This window comes from Homo sapiens, chromosome 14 (genome assembly GCF_000001405.40).
Source record: "Homo sapiens chromosome 14, GRCh38.p14 Primary Assembly".
Classification (NCBI taxonomy): Eukaryota; Metazoa; Chordata; class Mammalia; order Primates; family Hominidae; genus Homo; species Homo sapiens.
This window is the reverse complement of record NC_000014.9, coordinates 91,862,512-91,881,429: the sequence shown is the minus strand read 5'-3', so window position 1 is coordinate 91,881,429 and position 18,918 is coordinate 91,862,512. Positions and strand designations below refer to the sequence as shown.

Sequence of the window (18,918 nt, the reverse complement as noted above, 5' to 3'; positions counted from 1 at the left end):
CTGCATTTCAGACATCAACGAATGTGAGCACAGGAACCACACGTGCAACCTGCAGCAGACGTGCTACAATTTACAAGGGGGCTTCAAATGCATTGACCCCATCCGCTGTGAGGAGCCTTATCTGAGGATCAGTGATAAGTAAGTCACGGCGTCCCCCTGGGGAATAGAAACCTGATGAGGGCCTGGCTCAGGAGGTTGGAGGTGTGGTGTGAAAGAGAGTGCACCAGCCAGGAAGTGAGGGGACCTGGCCTACTACCTACGTCATGTGCTCATGCGTGTGTGTGTGTGTGTGTGTGTGTGTGTGTGTGTAGAATAGAACAGAGTAGAATAGATAGAACAGACTGGAATAGAAAATATCAGAGTACATTGCACATAGCAAGAGTCAATATTGTTTTTTGAAACTTATCTTTTAGTTTTGTGTGCTACTGGTTTGCAGTGCAAAGTGTGTTACTGTAGGTTGTCAAAAAGTTTGCAAAACATTCCATTCCAAGTTATAGGGTCTGAAACACATCCCTATATACAAGAAAGAACTATTTTTCAAAATGTTTGACCACAACACACAGTAAGAAACACATGCAAGGCTGGGCACGGTGGCTCATGACTGTAATCGCAGCACTTTGGGAGGCTGAGGTGGGTGGATTGCCTGAGCTCAAGAGTTTGAGAGCAGCCTGGCCAACATGGTGAAACCCCATCTCTACTAAAAATACCAAAAAAATTAGCTGGGCCTGGTGGCACGGGCCTGTAGTCCCAGCTACTCAGGAGGCTGAGGCATGAGAATCGCTTGAACCTGGGAGGAGGAGGGTACAATGAGCTGAGATCGTGCCACTGCAGTCCAGTCTGGGTGACAGAGTGAGACTCTGTCTCAAAACACACACACACACACACACACACACACACACACACGCACGCACACTCCCACAGAGTTCTCTATCACTCCGCTACTCATGCCAGAGCTATGCAAAGATTCTCTAGAAAGCTAACCAAGCCGAGAGTTGAGTCAGGGTTCTAGAATCTCCTCTTCCCTCTAATGACTTTGTTCTGGATACATGGGGTCTTTCAGAGGTTGGCTTCTAAATGTAACACTCATAGGACTCACCTGGTGATCTCGTTAAAGTGTGATTCAGTGGGTTTGGGGTGGGGCCCAAGATTCCGCCTTTCTGGCAAGCTCCCAGGTGAAATGAATGCTTCCAATCTCCCTGGACTGCTCCGTGAATATTGAGGTGCTGGAGAGTTGAGTATTGAGGTGCTGGACAGTTGAGTATTGAGGTGCTGGAGAGTTCTCTCGTTGGTGCTAATCAAGTTTCTGACGTCATCTTGGTCAACATTTTACTAAATCACCAGACGGCAAATATTAGAGTTGAGGAGAGAATTAAAGTGAAGACAACTTCCAAAAGGTGAATGCAGTAGGACAGTGGCTTTCTGTTCCTGGCATAGTAGGAGTTCCTTTTCCTTCTCTTTTATCCCTTTTTTAAACCATCTCAGTTCCTCCTTGGCCTCCTATATTCCAAATGTTCACACATCGACTTCCCTTGAGCAACACCAAACCCCGCATGGGAGACGAAAGGATGAATCAGACACACCCATCCTGCCCTCTCGGAATACAGCCTCTAAGAGAGGAATTCATGGCTTACCAGTGGTACCCACTTTGATAACAAATTGGCAAAAGAGAGGATAATGCCGGGACAGGCGGATCCTTTAGGGACATCTTCACTTGTTGCTAAGAGCTGTGCTACTAAGCAACCCTTTAGAACAGGGCTCTTTGACCCCCGACGTAAGGCCTGTTTGTGGCAGAGCAGAGCTCCAGGCTGCTCTTCCCAGCTTCTATTCCTGGTTCTCTCTGGGTTTTTCCAGGCCACCCCGTCTGTGGCTGGGGAGCTGACCCATTTCAGCTTGCAGCACTGAGCTGGAGTTACTGGTGGAGTCTCTGGCATGACGCTGACAATGCTCCGTGACTCCCTCACTCCAGGCTCCAGTCCAGTCAGACTCCGGCAGCCCCTTCCAGCTCCTTGTCCAGTTCAGGTGTCCTGTGCTCCTGCCAGTCTGAACAGGACTTGCTCATGCCTTTACCCGTGCCCAGGAATGGCCAGCCTCCCTTCTTGTGTGCACATACTTCCGGCCATATGGAAGGCATTCCTTTCATTTCCACATAGCCAGTCCTGCCCCATCTTTCAGATTTCAGCTCAGATGCCACCTCTCCCAGCTGTTTGTGGTCCTCTTCAGCTGGGAGCCATCACTCCCTCCTCCAAACTTCTTTTAGGAAACAATGATTTTCTATGCTGCACATGATACTTTATTGTGGCCATTTTGGCACTAGAGACATTTTGACTTGGCTATTTTGATGCAGCCTTAAAAAAATGAAACTTGCTCTGCCACCCAGGCTGGAGCGCAGTGGTGCAATCACAGCTCATTGAAGCCTCAACCTTTTGGGCTCAAACAATCGTCCTGCCTCAGCCTTTTAAGTAGCTAGGACTATGGGTGTGTGCCAGTGCTCCTGGCATATATATGTATTTGGTAAAGCCAGAGGTCTTGAACTCCTGGACTCAAGTCATCCTCCTGCCTCAGCCTTTCAAAGTGCTGGGATTATAGGCATGAGACACCATACTCTGCTCAGAATGAATGGAAATTTATAAAAAGGAAGAGTAGGCTGGATGGTTTAGATGGAGGAGTCCAAAGGCCTCTCTGAAAAATGACACTTGGGCTGGAATGGGAAAATGAGTTGACTTTAACTAAATAGAGAGTGGAAGATCAGAAGGAACAGCATGTGCAAAGGCGAGAAGGCAAGAGTGCATTGAAGGCACTGGAGATGGTTGGATGTGGACTCTCTTTTGGAAGTAGAACCAACAGGTTTTGTGGATAGATTGGAAGTTAGTGGCAGAAACACAGCAAGGTTGACTCCTAGCGTTGGCCACCACCGCGCGTCTCAACAGACATCTTCATCCTATTGTGAACCCTGGCCCCTAGGTGGAGTCTCAGGGCAGGGTCAGAGACAGAGGAAGGGGGTGTTAGGGGTGAATCAAGGGGTGTCTATAACAGGCATTCTTTGGTAGTAAAAGTCAGTGATTTTATATTAGGGCACTCTGTTAATAGTTGCTTTGTATTAGAGATATTTGTGTCTGTGGTTTATTTCTCCTATTAGAAAGTAAACTATCTGAGGTCAGGATCTTATTATTCATTGAATTTCCAAAATGTCCAATGTCACATCTTGTACATAGTTCTAACTCTTGCTTATCAATTATCGAATGACAAGATTTGATTATATTCGATTCAGTAACATTCCATGCAGACTGGGCTGAGCACAATAGAGAATGTACAAGGATCCCCAAGACCTGTTAATCCAGTTTCTTACTTTAAAAATTTCTTTCTTTCTTCCTTTTTTTTTGTTTTGTTTTTTTGAGACAGGGTCTTGCTCTGCCGCCCAGGCTGGAGTGGCATATTTGGCCTACGTGGCAAATGTAAAGTATCTTGGAGAATGTTCTAATGTTCTGAAAACCAGAGATCTAAGGTTTGTATTCTATTTAGTAGCCAGAACATCTGGTTGGTGAGAAAAGTCCATTCTCTAGGAAACAGAGCTCGCCTACATGCTGGAGAGATTTTAGACTCAAGCCAGGAGCAGAGACATTCTACAGTTATGGCATTTGGATGCTAAAAATGGGGTGGCCTCATTTTCAGTGTTTTAAGAGAGGAAGTAGGCACAGCCAGCACCTGGAATGGATTTCTTGAGTTCTCACGTGATTTCCCTTTCCACAGCCGCTGTATGTGTCCTGCTGAGAACCCTGGCTGCAGAGACCAGCCCTTTACCATCTTGTACCGGGACATGGACGTGGTGTCAGGACGCTCCGTTCCCGCTGACATCTTCCAAATGCAAGCCACGACCCGCTACCCTGGGGCCTATTACATTTTCCAGATCAAATCTGGGAATGAGGGCAGAGAATTTTACATGCGGGTAAGAGGGAGTGGGGAGTGGGGACGCCATCTGTAACAGTGGCCTTGTGCTGTCTCTCCTAGGAACGTGCTGTATGCAAGCAGGTAAGAGTGGGGCTGGGGGACAGGTAGGCAGAGAGAAGAGTGGAGGGTGTGGTTCAAGGTCCTGGTTTCCACCACTTTCTGTGTAGTCTTGCAAAAGATGCTTCTCCTCCTGAGCCTCAGGATCCTCATCTGTGAAATGGGAAGTTAGGCCAAGATGCAATCTTAGGTCTCTTTTCTCCTAATATTCTGTTGGAGAGGCATTCACGTCTCCACTTTTCAACCAACCCATGTGACAAGTATTTCTTAAGTACCTCCTATGCAGGCCAGGCACGGGGGCTGATGCCTGTAATCCCAGCACTTTGAGAGGCCAAGGTGGACAGATTGTCTGAGCTCAGGAGCTCAAGACCAGCTTGGGCAACATGGCAAAACTCTGTCTCTACAAAAAAAAAAGTTAGCCGGTCATGGTGGCAGGCACCTGTAGTCTCAGCTACCTGGGGCAGTGTGGCGGGGAGGTGGTGTGAGATGGGAGGATTGCTTGAGCCCAGGAGGTCGAAGTTGCAGTGAGCTGAGATCACACCACTGTACTCCAATCTGGGCAACAGAGCGAGACCCCATCTCTGAAAAACAATAAAAACTTGGTGACTTAAGGCAAAGGAAATTTATTCTCTCATAGTTCTGGAAGCCAGGAGTCTGAAATCAGTTTCACTGAGCTGAAATCCAGGTGTCAGCAGGGCTGTGCTCCCTCTGGAGGCTCTAGAGGAGAATCCGTTCCATATCTCTTCCAGCTTCCGGGGGCCGCCAGCACTTCTTGACTGTGGCTGCATCACTCCAATATCTGCCTCTGTGGTCACGCTGCCTCCTCTTCCTCCTCTGTGTGTATCAAATCTCCCTTTGTCTCCTTCTTATATTAACACCTGCGAGTAGATTTAGGGCCCATTCAAACAATCCAGATAATCTCTCTGTCCAGATTCTTAATCACATCTGCAAAAACCCTTTTCCTTATAACGGAACGGGTTCCAAGGATTTAGGACTTGCATCTTTTTGGGGGCTACTACCCAGCATACTGCACCCAGGAATCTGCATTTCTAACAGATGCTGCTGTGATCTTCCAGGGTCACTGTGGGGAGCCATATTGAAAAGGTCCATGGGCGTTTATATGCTTTCATTAGAGACTGGGCCCTATGAAGTCATGGGCCACAAGGCAGGAAGACAGAAATCTTCCCGATAAGGCTGGCTTTCCGAGGGTCCATGCTGTCTGAAGCTGCGGGACCCTCCCCGGGAAACCACTCAGTCATTCTAATGTGAGCTCTGGAGCCATGTCTTCTACAGTTTAACAATTTCACAATTGTGTGATGTGACCTAACACCTCTGGACCTCTAGATGAGTGTTTACTTTAGGATTAGATGAGATTATCCACTTAGTGCCCTATCTGGAATACAGTTTTTATCAAAGAAGTGGAGTTTGGTGGTGGGGGTGAAACAGTCAATGACTTTTTCTTTTTCTCACGCTGTTGGATCAAACCTGTGAGCACCTGGGTTACATCTCACGTCAATTCCCTAGGATTCACAGGCATGTTCCATTTCTATTGGATTGTCTCATTCTCTCACGTCAAAAGTCTGTACTAGTTTAAATGGAAACTTCAACCTCTCTGTCTCTTACCCACTGTGAAGTTTCTCCCTGTCTCCTAGTTCAGAGCAGGCAAGGGGTGTGGTTGGCCTCTGCCCTGTCCTCTTGTCACCCTCCCGGTAATGGTAGTGCTGGCCCTGGCTCCTCCAGGGCTGGCAGGGGAGGAGCAGGTGGTAGAAAGGGTAAGGCTGGAAGAGTGAGGCTCCTCCCCGATTGTAGCCATTGTAACCAGGCATTGGTATTCCCTCAGGAGCAGAGCCCCCAAAGCTGTTGCTCTCACAGGGTGCTTTTGTGGGTCTTTTGGAGATTTGCCTGAGGACTTCACACTGACCAGTCCCTGATATGGGCAGTAGGGCCTGTGGTTGGTCACCTGCTACTCCAAACCTCTCAGCCCCTAATTCTGGGGCTATGTCTCATACAGATGTGCCGTGGTGGTAGTGAGGTGGAGGGTATCACTGCATCCTGGCAGCAGACCTTACACAAGGGCCTTTCAGGATGTCAACATCAGCTCCTTGCATTCCCCGTTCCTCTCTATGGTGTGGGGCAGCTCAGGGCTCACATCTCCAGACTTCTCCTGGAGACAGTCTGGTACCACTTTCTGCATCCTTGAACTTCAGGGGCCTGCATCTCTAAACAGTTTTTCTTTTTTTGAAAACCCCTCTTGATTGAGATGGAGGCTAGTAAGTGTGTTTAATAAAATATATGTAGAGTTGGGCACAGGGGCTCATGCCTGTAATCCCAGCTACTCTGGAGGCTGAAGTGGGAGGATCCCTGGAGCCCGGGAGTTCAAGTCCAGCCTGGGCAACATAGTGAGACCCTGTCTCTACAAAAAAAGATTAAAAAATTAGCCAGGTGTGGTGGCATGACCTGTAACCACAGCCACTCTGGAGGCTGAGATGAGAAGATAACTTGAATCCAGGAGTTCAAGGCTGCAGTGAGCTATGATTGCACCACTGCACTCCAGCCTGGGTGGCAGAGCGAGACCCTGTCTCTAAAAACAAAAACAAACAAACAAAAAAGTATGTATGTAGGCTGGAGGGGGTGATGGAATGAGGGAAACATCTGGCTTTGGATCACAGCTTTGTAAGTCCTGTATAACCCCAATAACTCCACACACAGCATCAGCAGCAAGCCGTGTATAGTGCCTGTATGTGCCAGACACTATTCTAAGTGCTTTCTATACAGTAACCCTTTAATCTTCACAAGAATCCTATGATATAGGATGGTTTTATCGTCCAGATTTTACAGATGAGAGCACTGAGGCACAGAGCTAAGCAACCTGCCCGACTAGTCTCACAACTAATAAGCACCAGGGCAGGATTTGAACCTAAGCAGCCTGGCACCAAAAATCTGTGCTGTTATACTTTTCTTCAGAATGGGGAGGTATGCTTTACCTACTCTTCCAGCTTTGGGGTCTCAGATGAAATGGAGATCACAAGAAAAGTCTAACATCCAGTTACAATAGAAAGTATTCCAGAAATAGCAGTTATGATTGTATAGATACTGTTGTGGCCACTGCTACTGTTGCTGCTACTGCTGCAAGGAGGCTGGGAGCTGCTGGGCCATGGAGAGCTTGGGAATGCTACCCAGGGGACTGGAGCATCGTGTGGGAGGTGGGGCTGGATGGCCATCCAGGCTCTCACACCCTGAGATTCATTGATTTGATTATAACCACATGGGAGGAGCTTCATCTCACCCCGCAGGCAAACCACACACACACACTTGCATGCACACATGCACACACTTATGCCCACATGCGTACGTGTACACACACACACAAGCCCATTCATAAGCCTTATTGGCTGCCTGTCTCTCACTGAGCCCTAGAAAGAGGACTGATGATTGGCTTTGGCCAGGTGGCTTGGGGGTCATAATTAGGGCCAGAAGAAGGAGCAAGGTCATGGGGTTCAGACTGTGCCAAAGTGCACTTACTCCATGACACACGTGGATCAAGTGACAGGGCCCATGGAAGCTGGCCTGCTACAGCGTGGCTGCTTGCCACAGGTCAGACCATGCCATCCCACAAGTTGATTAGAATAAACCTGAGTGTGTTTGGGATCAGGGCCAAGAAGACACACAGCTGGTGGGCTGTTGGCAGCCGACTCCCAGCGTGGTCAAGTCCACTGGCGTTCAGTCATTCGTGTGCATTCTTCCGTTACCAGCGTGCATTCAGCACCACTGCATATGAGGCTTCAAGTCAGGCACTGAGCGTTGAGAAACAAACAGGATGTGGTCTCTGCCCTGGAGGAACCCACACACACCTTAGCGGAGAGGGGGAAAACAACCTAGCAAACACAACACAAAGTGGCGATTCTCAAGTCAAGTCAAGACCCATGGGATGGTGAGTAAATGGAGAGGTACAGAGACCTTATCAGAGAGTGTAGTGGTTAGAAGCATGATTTTTGGAGCCATAAAGTCTAGTACCATGCAGTAGTTTGGTGGCCTTATGTAGTATCCCTAACCTACTTAGAGCATAGGGTTGTGAAGATTAATTAAGAGGTGTAGGAAAGGTTGTAGCCAGATGCCTGGCATCATAACCACCACCGTCATCACTGTCGCCACCATCCTCCTCCTCCTCATCTTTTCGCACCACCAAGCCTACTAATGCCCACGGGCTCTCAGGGGTTTATTTCATTAATGCCCTGGCTCTGCCCTAAAAGCCGAATGTGGAGGTGGCTGTCCTCAGCTCTTGTGGCAGGTACTTGAGCTCTTCCAGGTGCTTGTGGGTAGGGTGGACCCAGGTGGAGGCCGGACTCACCAGCTTCTGCAGTTACTTCCAAATGGGAGAGTCTAGGATTTCAAATGGGATAGTTGAGGATTCTTTCGTACTCAGGAGACATTTACCAGGAGAGCCCAAAGGAACAACTTGGAAGTTTGCACTTGCCCCCTTCTCCCTTCCAGACCTTGGGCTCTGCAGATCTCCCTCTGGAGGGCTGTCCCTAGCTCAGGGTTCTCAACTCTTGGTCTTTGTTCACGCAGTGAAAGCTGGTGAGATATTTGTATATGTAAAGGCTGCAGGCATTTCCTTGTGTGGCTTTACCCTCTGAAGCCCTGGCCCAGGGCTCAGGTTTCGTAAGGGCTGACAAGGAAGTCCAAGAAATCTGCGTGAGGAGGTGCCAATAACGTGGATGCTGACGGGAACAGGAGGAACCAGTGCCAAGAGGAAATTGTGTGGCTGTCAGGCTGCCGATAGCCTCATGGATAGGGGAGGTCCCAGCGCCTGGCCTGCACCTGTCTGCCAGCCCCACCCTTGTCTTACTTGTGGTGGCTCTTGGGGATGTTCAGAACTTTATGGGGCGCCCTCCTTTTATGGAGACAGATAAAACATCTAGTGTAGCTTTAAACCAGCTAGGTTCCTTTATTTTGCAGAGACTGTTGCTTGCAGCTTCTGGGCACAGGGCTGGGCTCTGCAGTGTATGGGAAGTGATTGTCCAGCCCATCCCTTTTCTTCTTCACACTGTTTCCTCTAACAGTGCCAATATCTGTCCCTTGCACTGACCGCGAGCATCTCTCATTAGGTGGGTGCTAGGAAGAAGTGAAACACACATCAGCCTCTTCTGATACCTGCTGTGCAGTGAAAAAAGCCTGGGGCTTGGGGTCAGAAATACCTGAATGGAAGCCCTTGGTTCTGCCCAAGACTAGCTGGGTAACCCTAAGCAATTATTTAACCTCATGGGACCTCAGTTTGCTTACTTATAAAACGGGGAAGTAATGAGTCATACCTTTCATACAGCACTTAGACAAGGACAGCCAGGGCCCCCCCACCTGGGTCCTGTGCTTTTAGATCAATATTTCTCAATACTTAATGTGCACACAAAGCCCTGGGGATTGTGTTAAGCCACAGATTCTGGCTCAGTAGATCCTAGCCCTGAGATTCTGCATTTATAAGAAGCTCCCTGGTGATGCCCATGCTGCTGGTCCAGGGACCACACTTTGAGTGGCAAGGCCTTTCAGGGTTTTATGAGAATTTTTTTTTTTTTTTTTAGCTGGAGTCTCGCCGTTGTCCAGGGTGGAGTATAGTGGTGCGATCTCTATTCACTGCAACCTCTGCCCCCCAGGTTCAAGCAATTCTTGTGCCTCAGCCTCCCAAGTAGCTGGGATTACAGGCACCTGCCAACATGCCCTGCTAATTTTTCTAGTTTTAGTAGAGATGGGGTTTCACCATATCAGCCAGGCTGGTCTCCAACTCCTGGCCTCAAGTGATCCGCCCACCTCGGCCTCCCAAATGCTGGGATTACAGTTGTGAGCCATGGTGCCTGGCCATTTTATGAGGATTAAATAAGCAGATGTACATAAACATGGTTAGAAGAGTGCCTCACACATGATGGGTGCTCAGTTGATGTCATTCCTCTCTGCCTTCCTCCTTGAAAGTTTTAGAAAAAGACTCAGTGGAGGAGAGAGTTCACGCGAAATTATTAGGACCACAGTGATCAGGTTACAGAATGGTGAAGCTGGAGATGACTCTAGGGTGCCTAGAGGGGGGTTCTTAAATTCCACCTTTCCCAGGCATCACCTAAAAATATACTGACATAGAAAATCTTGGAATGGGCCCCTGGAATTGTTAGTTTAACAAAAAAAGTTCCAGTAGCCTTTGATGCCTTTTTTTTTTTTTTTTTAAATTACTGATCTGGTCCAAACCCTCATTTTATTTTTCCTCAAAAACGTTTTTTAAAACTTTTATTCCACTTTCAAGAGTACATGTGCATGTTGGTTGTATAGATAAATTACTGTGTCGTAGGAGTTTGGTGTATATATGATGTCATCACCCAGGTAATAAGCATAGTACCCAGTAGGTAGTTTTTCAATCCCCTCCCTCCTCCTGCCTCCCACCCTGAAGCAGGCCCTGGTGCCTGTTTTTCCCTTCTTTGTGTCCATGTGTATGTACTCAATGCCAAACCCTCATTTGAGAGATGAGCCCCAGAGGGGTGAAGTGACAGCCCTAAGCCATGCAGAAGTTTCAATCAATGATTCGTTCATCATTCAATATATGTTTTCTGAACACCTTCTGTGTTCAAGGCACCATGCTGGCTTCTAGGGGGACTCAGTGGTGAAAAGCCTGACCCCAGTACCTGTTCTTACAGAACTCATAGCCTAGTGGGAGCCTAGATATCAGACACGGATCAGGTAGACAGTATGGACAATCATACATGGTCATAAATGCTTTCCATCCTGTACAAAGTAAAGGCTGCAGCGTCAGAGGTCGCAGGGGGACCTGACTTAGATTGGGGAACCAGAGAAGGCTCCTCTTAGGAAGTGACCTTTCAGATGAGACCTGAAGGGTTTGCAGAAAAGAACCAGGTGGAGAGTGGGCAAAGCCAGGGAAAGAGCATGGCACAGTTGAGGCACCGAGGGGGTGCCAGTTTGACTGACGGAGGCAAGGGAGCGCCCAGGTGGGGCTGCAGGGCCACCATGCAGGCCTTTTCTCACTGGTGTTCCCCGGTTCTGTCCATAGCAAACGGGCCCCATCAGTGCCACCCTGGTGATGACACGCCCCATCAAAGGGCCCCGGGAAATCCAGCTGGACTTGGAAATGATCACTGTCAACACTGTCATCAACTTCAGAGGCAGCTCCGTGATCCGACTGCGGATATATGTGTCGCAGTACCCATTCTGAGCCTCGGGCTGGAGCCTCCGACGCTGCCTCTCATTGGCACCAAGGGACAGGAGAAGAGAGGAAATAACAGAGAGAATGAGAGCGACACAGACGTTAGGCATTTCCTGCTGAACGTTTCCCCGAAGAGTCAGCCCCGACTTCCTGACTCTCACCTGTACTATTGCAGACCTGTCACCCTGCAGGACTTGCCACCCCCAGTTCCTATGACACAGTTATCAAAAAGTATTATCATTGCTCCCCTGATAGAAGATTGTTGGTGAATTTTCAAGGCCTTCAGTTTATTTCCACTATTTTCAAAGAAAATAGATTAGGTTTGCGGGGGTCTGAGTCTATGTTCAAAGACTGTGAACAGCTTGCTGTCACTTCTTCACCTCTTCCACTCCTTCTCTCACTGTGTTACTGCTTTGCAAAGACCCGGGAGCTGGCGGGGAACCCTGGGAGTAGCTAGTTTGCTTTTTGCGTACACAGAGAAGGCTATGTAAACAAACCACAGCAGGATCGAAGGGTTTTTAGAGAATGTGTTTCAAAACCATGCCTGGTATTTTCAACCATAAAAGAAGTTTCAGTTGTCCTTAAATTTGTATAACGGTTTAATTCTGTCTTGTTCATTTTGAGTATTTTTAAAAAATATGTCGTAGAATTCCTTCGAAAGGCCTTCAGACACATGCTATGTTCTGTCTTCCCAAACCCAGTCTCCTCTCCATTTTAGCCCAGTGTTTTCTTTGAGGACCCCTTAATCTTGCTTTCTTTAGAATTTTTACCCAATTGGATTGGAATGCAGAGGTCTCCAAACTGATTAAATATTTGAAGAGAGCTTGTGTTTGGTTCATTTTGACATCATAGACGAGTCAGCCTTTGGGGTTCTAGTTCTGTTTAAACCTGTTTATTGTGCGCTGGCTTAGAAAGCTCTCCAGAGAGCTAGGGCATTATCTGTGACTCTGGCAAATTGATGGGAGGGGGGCGGTGGGGCAGAGAAATAGGGGTCGTGGGGAAGTTAGGGGGAGGCATCATCCCTGAGTCCTGTTTCATCTGATTAGAAAACAACCAACAATCCTTCTCTTACGTAGATTATTTCCGGTGCTCCTGCAGAACAGGAATGTATTCAAGTTACTTTAAACCAGTGGCCTTCAACCCTGGCTGCATAGACGGATAACCAGTAGAACTTTGGAGGAAAGATTGATTCCCCGGGACATGCCCCCAGACACTCTGATGTCATTGGGCTTAGGTAGGGCCCGGCCATCAGGATTTTTGAAAACTTGACTATGTAGCCAGAGTTGAGAATGTATTGTTATAAACCCTAGAAAGAGAGGTGGACAGATGGGGCTGGAGCCCTAGCTGCCTTGCCCTCAATGTCTTTTCTGCTCATTGTAGGATACATTATTCTTTTCCTGGTCAGGGCCTCTGGACATCCTTCAAGTCTTAGAACCCTGTGCAGGGGCCAAGAGAGTCAACATTGCAAGTCACAGGAGAACAGGTTGGGATGGCTGTCTTTATGTGCCATCCCAGGAATCAACCCAAGGCTTCAGGAAAAAAGTGCACTCCCTGATAGCTGAGGTGGAGTCTACAGATCCATCTGAGGGTGCTCCCATCCTACCTGTTGGTGAGGTATTCATTAAGGACCCCCACAGTGCCTATCAGGAGTTGTGTCCTGGACCCCTAGTCTTAGTAGGCATTCCACAGATCCTTGTGATATGGACAGGAGACAGGGAAATACTGGGTAGAAGAGGGTGGTTCCCTGGCAAAGGCCCCACCCTCAAGCCTGGGTACCCATGGCCCTAAATGAGGACAGCCATTCCTGTTTTCATCCCTAAAAAGTTGCCTTTTGGCCTGCCATGTCCCCTATCCTGTACCCATATAAACCCTGAACCCCAGGCTCCAGGCTCCAGAAGCAGACGGGGAGACAAGAAGATGAGCAGACATGAATGGCAGAAAAGCACGGCAAAGAAGGAGAGAAGAGAAGGAACATTGGGAGGAATTCGACTGGAGACGATCTGAAAACTGGCCACTGGATGGCCAAACTCCAGGGGAAGATCATCTTCCCACTCCATCCCCTGTCCAGCTCCCCATCCATCCTACTTAGAGCCACCTCCACCACTCAATAAAACCCCTGCATTCATCCTGCAAATCCATGTGTGACCTGATCCCTCCGGGATGCTGGACAAGAGCTCGGGATACAGGAAACTGTCACACTGGCCCTCTGCCCTGGCAAAAAGGGAGAGGGTCCACTAAGCTGGTTAACGCTTAAGCTGTCCACGGATGGCAAGGCTGAAAGACTGCACTGTTTCAGTGCCTACTCGGGCTTTGGAAGTCACAGACACCGACCCCGGGATGCTGTCATGGGGCTGGGGCCCAAAAGTGCTCACCCTGGTTCCTGCACCTGCCTGTCTGCGTGCTCCCCTTCCCATAAGGGGTTTTAGCTTGGGGTGGCTGAAGAGAGAGCCACACCCCTGTTGCACATCCTGTGAGGGGGCCAGGGAATTCTCCTGTTCCACTTAGTAGTATCTTAGGCCTTCAGTGGAAGGAAACAGCATGTTCCACGCCCTGTAGCATCCAAGAAGCTGCAAGTCCTCCCTCCTCACCCCAAGAGCATTTCTCACACCCACACCACACACCTCACTTTGCTGTTGGCTGTGGTTATTTTTTTCTCTAACTAAGCACATCTAAACCATGCCTAGTTGTGGTTCTTCAGTCAGGGTCAAGTGGTGTTAGCAATCACATCAGCACCAAATGGCTCAGGATGCTCTGGTTTCAAAGCTTATAAAACAGAGGGTGATTCCCTTGGGACTCACTCAGCTCGGCTCCGAAAAGCAAAGGCCAGAAGGCAGCAGTGAGCCTGGGTCCCTGCTGTGTAGGGAGACTCAGGGGCTGGGAAGAAGGATGGAATCAGAAATGCTGAAGGTTTACGTGAGCTTTGCACCGAGCGCCTCCGAACCACTGCCTCTGGGCTCAACAGAACACAGGGGTAAGTCTCCATGAACTTCTCAAAAAGAAAACTGGGAAGCTTTCTGTCTTGATGATTTGAGGACCCACTGGTTTCAGAGGTGCCACATTTGGAACCAGATCCGAGTCTTTAAGGTTTGTGTTTTATTTGTTCATGTCAAAATGTGGCTTCCTGCTTCTAAGAAAAGAAACTCAGGCTCATAAAAGCAGCCTCCAAGGGCTTCTTGGACCTCAAATTGCGCTTTCAAAATGTGGTCTGATGGGTTCAGTGTAAATGCACCAGAGGCATGTGGGATCCATTTACCTTAAAATACACTTGGGCCTAAAAATTAAGAGAAAAACAGTCCAGGGCAAAGTGTATACTGCAAAGTCAAGCTCCAAACATTTGGGAAACAGTTCTAGAGGCTGCTGGAACCCCAAATGCTACTTGCTTTACCTACCCCTTGGGAATCATCAAATGTTATTTTTTGTACAAGACTGGGGATGAGCCTGCTCTCTGATCCCAGTGCTGTGCTCTGCTGTGCAGTTCTAATGGGGCAGGCTGTTTCCTGGACCCTGAGATCTCCAGGCTCCCTGTGCCTATTCCTTGTCAGCTTTGCCCCATCCAGGAGCTGGGCTGAGCTTGTCAAGTGACCTCTGCTTTGTACCACTCCATCAGGTCCTGAAGAATGAAGGGTACCAAGGTGGAAGGGGCGCAGGATTAAGAGTAGGGACGCCTGCAAAAGCTCTCGTGTTACCACCTCATCTTCCAACTTTCATGTGGGTGAAAACGTTCATCCTAAATAATTGCTTCTAATTCTGAAGTTTTGTGATTCCTTGAAATGTACTTTGGGGATGACAGCCAGCATTTCCATTTCACTGCAATTTCAGAGTTTTGCAGTGGTTTGCCAATCATAACACTTTCTAATTGGCACAAAATCCACCTACCTGTTGCCTCTCAGGCTTGGGTAACATACTTCAGACACTTTCTTAGGTAAGTCTTGGCCCTTGGGGTGTTATTTGCCCAGATGGTAAAAACATTTAAGTAGGTCTGATTATTTCATTTTCAGTGGTTTCAACGCATTTTTGTGGCCTGGGTGGTTACTGTAATGTGCCCAAGTTGTTCATTCTGAGCCAACGGGGTCACCCACAGAGAGAAGACTTGACAAAGGAACTCTCCTCTACTCCCCTCTTGCCAGATGAAATATTGTTTGTAAAAGGTCTTTGTCTTGAGAGGATCACATACTTTGGTTAAGAATCCACTTTGGTTAAGCCGGTTGCTGGATTCAGAGACATGAACAGGATAGACAGTCCACCGATAACTTTATAATAACACCTTTTTAATAACACCTTTAATAACTTTTTAATAACTTTAAAAGTTATTAAAACTTTATAAAAAGTTAATCTAAAACTTTAATAACTTTTTAATAACACCTTTAGCCAGGGGTTTATGCAGCATACACGACAAAACTGGAATATAATGTGGTAGGTGCAGTAGCAGGGTCCACAAAATTATTTTAGTTAGATTTTAAAAATTATTAAGACATCTGTTTTATACAAGAAAAATTCTTATGAAAATTTATAGACATGTGTTTGAAATTTAGAATAAGTTGCCTCTGCTTAGAATTATTAAGTATTTTGAAAGGAAACACTAATAAATGCTAGATAAACTTTTTCTTTTTGATACAATTTGTGTTTACTTTAAATGCAATATTTTTTTATCTGAAAAAAAACGTGAGCACTTAGCAAATCTCTTCATTATTTTGGAATTGGCCAATGCTTATAAACTACAAACAAATATACAGATTGTTCCTTGTGCTGATATTTTTGTTTTCAAATTTCTTAGTCCTGTTACTTAACAAATGGCTGATATCTTTGTTGGAATCCCTGAACATAGCTAAAAGATGTTTTTTTAAAAAAAAAAAAAAAAAAAAACCAAGAGGCTCCAAGACAAAGGAGTGCACAGAGGCAAAATTTATCACTTTGGTAGCTTTTGCGGGGATGAAAGCCTCCAGTTAGAATGTTTGACTTACTAATGGTTCTTAATAATGAATCTTAGCCAGCAGCCATCAGAGAAATAAATCATTAAAGTGAGAAAATAGGTGTCAACACAGGAGTGATCTACTGAATTGCCATTTTGGTGTTCTTTCAGAGGGGAACTGCATGTTGACAGGCAGTGACTTTTTCAGGAATTTGGGATATTCTTGAGCAATAATGTAAAGATGAAGGCAGGGGGCTGGGCACAGGGGCTCATGCCTGTAATCTGGGAGGCCGAAGTGGGCAGATCACTTGAGGCCAGGAGTTCAAGACCAGCCTGGTCGACATGGTGAAACCCGTCTCTACTAAAAATACAAAAATTAGGTGGGAGTGGTGGCACACACCTATAATCCCAGCTACTCAGAGACTGAGGCAGGAGAATTGCTTGAACCCAGGAGGCAGAGGTTGCAGTGAGCTGAGATTGCACCATTGCATTTCAGCCTGGGCAACAGAGCGAGAGTCTGTCTCAAAAAAAAAAAAAAAAAAAAAAGATGAAGGCAGGGTAAATTGTACACACATACAAATACAGTGCCATTATGATACCTGTTTATTAGGATTTGAGAAATTAATTAACATTGATTTAAGGCCACAGAGTCATTGGATCACTTGATTCTGTTTAAAAGAAGTTTTCGTTTGGGTAGGATTGTTTTGGTTTCAACCTGTTCCTTTTTTCTAAGTCTTCGTTTCCAACCTTCTACTCAGAATGAATTTGACATTGCAAAACTGGCTTGTATCACGATAGCTACTATGCTTTAAAATAGGGTAGGTGCTTTGGCATCTTTGGAGTTTTAACGTATGAACCATTCATAATTTATCCCTAAAGCGAGTGTGGATTGTTTTATTTGTGAACGTTCTACATCCCCTGATCTGAAAACTTACCAAAAAAGCCAACATTGAGATGAAGCAGGGACCCCTTTTAGGGGCCTCCTTCCCCCTACTCCCCTACAAGCATGGAAATAAAGCGAAATCTTGAGTTCCTGCAAGGGAAATTCCAGGCACCCAGCTAGCCCTGAGAAGTAAGGAGCAACTTGGTAAACAAGAAGGTAATAGTAGCTTAAAACAATAGCCAGGGAAGTTAGAGTTGCGAGATGTTTGGTTCCCTCCAGAGACTAAAGGTAACATCTTAACATATATCCCTGAGTTGTTTTTCAGAAACCCAGACCCCCACCAAATGGATCCCCTGGCATGCAGACCTCAGGTAAGGGAGAACTGAGGACTGAATTCTGAGGACTGAATTCTGACCTCTGTTCTTTATTCTGGGTTTTTTTCTTTTTTTTTGCCAGGGTCTGGCTCTGTTGCCCAGGTTGGAGTGTAGTGGTGTAATCATAGCTTACTGCAGCCTCGACCTCCTGTCCTGTGATCCTCCCATCTCAGCCTTTCGAGGAGCTGGGACTACAGCTACGTGCCAACATGTCAGGCTTTTTTTTTTTTTTTTTTTGTAGAGATGGAGTCTGGGGTCTCGCTTTTTTGCCCAGGCTGATCTTGAGCTCCTGGCGTCAAGTGATCCTTTCACCTTGGCCTCCTAAAGTGCTAGGATTGCAGCTGTGATCCACCATGCCCAGCCTCCATTCTTTGTTCTAAACTTTTTCCTGAAGGGCCTGGAGGAAGTCACACCCACAGGCCAGACCCCACATTCTTTTCTGCTGAACCCAAGTCTTTTGACAAAGCTTCCCTTCTTTAACCAATTGCAAATCAAAAAATCTTTGAATCTACCTATGACTTTGTAAGCCCCCCACTTCAAGCTATCTCACCTTTTTAGGCCAAACCAGTATATAACCTCCATATATCGATTTACAATTTTGCTTGTAACTTCCACTTTCCTGAAGTTTACCCCTGCCTTTAGAAACCCTTGCTTATAAGCCATTGGGGAGGTCAGGTCTTAGGCGTGAGCTGCCCAATTCTCCTTGCTTGGTGTCTTGCTAATCAATCCCCTTCCTTCTCCCACTATAAAACTTTGGTATGAACGTTTGGCCTTACTGCGCTGGGCAAGCCCACTCCAGTTTGGTTTGGTAATGTCACTGAAACCAAGCTATGATATTTGTAGATACCTTAGATCTTTATGGTGATGCTGTAACCTCATAGTTTTGTTTTGTCTTATTTTGTTTTGTTCTAGTTCCACATTTAAAAAGATCTCATGGAGGTTTCCGCCCCAAGGCTGGCATTTCCACACAGCCAGTCTTTCTAAGCCAGTCTTTCCACACCAGTCTTTCTAAGAAGCAGCCCTATGGGCCAGTAACAGCTACATTTTTGTTGAGCAAAGGCACTATTAAAATCATCATCTACATCTTTCAGTAAAACCATAATTAGTCAAGGAGATCCTTTCAACTCAGAAGTCATACAGAGAGGTAGACTCCTTTGCTTCTGGCTTTTGTTGTTGTTGTTGTTCTGTTGGAACTTTGGAATGTGTTATCTTGTTAGGGCCTTCAATGAGATTAAAGAAAAGAATCCGGGACATCATTTTTCACCATAAAAGCTGGGACTTTTCATCAGTAGGTGGTGAAGAGTTCCCAGGTGTACTCCAAGAAGTTTTGGAACAATAAGGCACACCAAAAAGAAGCAGGCTGCCTCATTTGGAGTGACTGCAGGGATGGGGCAGGCCGCAGGGAGGAGAGGAAGTGGCTCCTTCCAGCAAATGCTGAGCCAAGTTGCCTTGTGCTCCTCACACTTGATCTGCAGCAGCAGGAGGCTTCCATCCTAGGAAATTGCCTCGAGGCTGCTCTTGATCTTAATTTTCACCAGATTTCCCTCAGCCCCAC

The 18,918-nt window shown here is 46.9% G+C and overlaps 2 protein-coding genes across 8 annotated transcripts in view, besides 1 other annotated feature; both read left to right on the top strand.

Moving 5' to 3' along the window:
• Positions 1-12,019, top strand: part of FBLN5 (fibulin 5) — a 78,284-nt gene extending 66,265 nt beyond the window's left edge. For 4 of the 7 annotated variants that reach the window (NM_006329.4, NM_001384158.1, NM_001384162.1 and 1 more), the window contains 3 exons: positions 12-138; positions 3,748-3,943; positions 11,045-12,019. In NM_006329.4, the coding sequence (NP_006320.2) occupies positions 12-138; positions 3,748-3,943; positions 11,045-11,206 (485 nt within the window). In that variant the 3' untranslated portion in view covers positions 11,207-12,019. Of the gene's footprint in view, positions 1-11; positions 139-3,747; positions 3,944-7,754; positions 7,934-11,044 lie in introns of all 7 variants that reach the window. The other 3 variants (NM_001384160.1, NM_001384161.1, XM_011536356.2) reach the window with 1 other exon arrangement.
• Positions 13,679-13,728: an enhancer, noted in NCBI's record as "active region_8925". NCBI's record gives its function as "activates an Ori minimal core promoter by ATAC-STARR-seq in GM12878 lymphoblastoid cells {active_cell/tissue: GM12878}" and the evidence as "EXISTENCE:reporter gene assay evidence [ECO:0000049][PMID:35858748]".
• Positions 13,894-18,918, top strand: part of TC2N (tandem C2 domains, nuclear) — an 87,791-nt gene continuing 82,766 nt past the window's right edge. The window contains exon 1 of the mRNA NM_001128596.3: positions 13,894-14,168. The gene's annotated coding sequence lies outside the window, so the exon portion shown is untranslated. The remainder of the gene's footprint in view (positions 14,169-18,918) is intronic.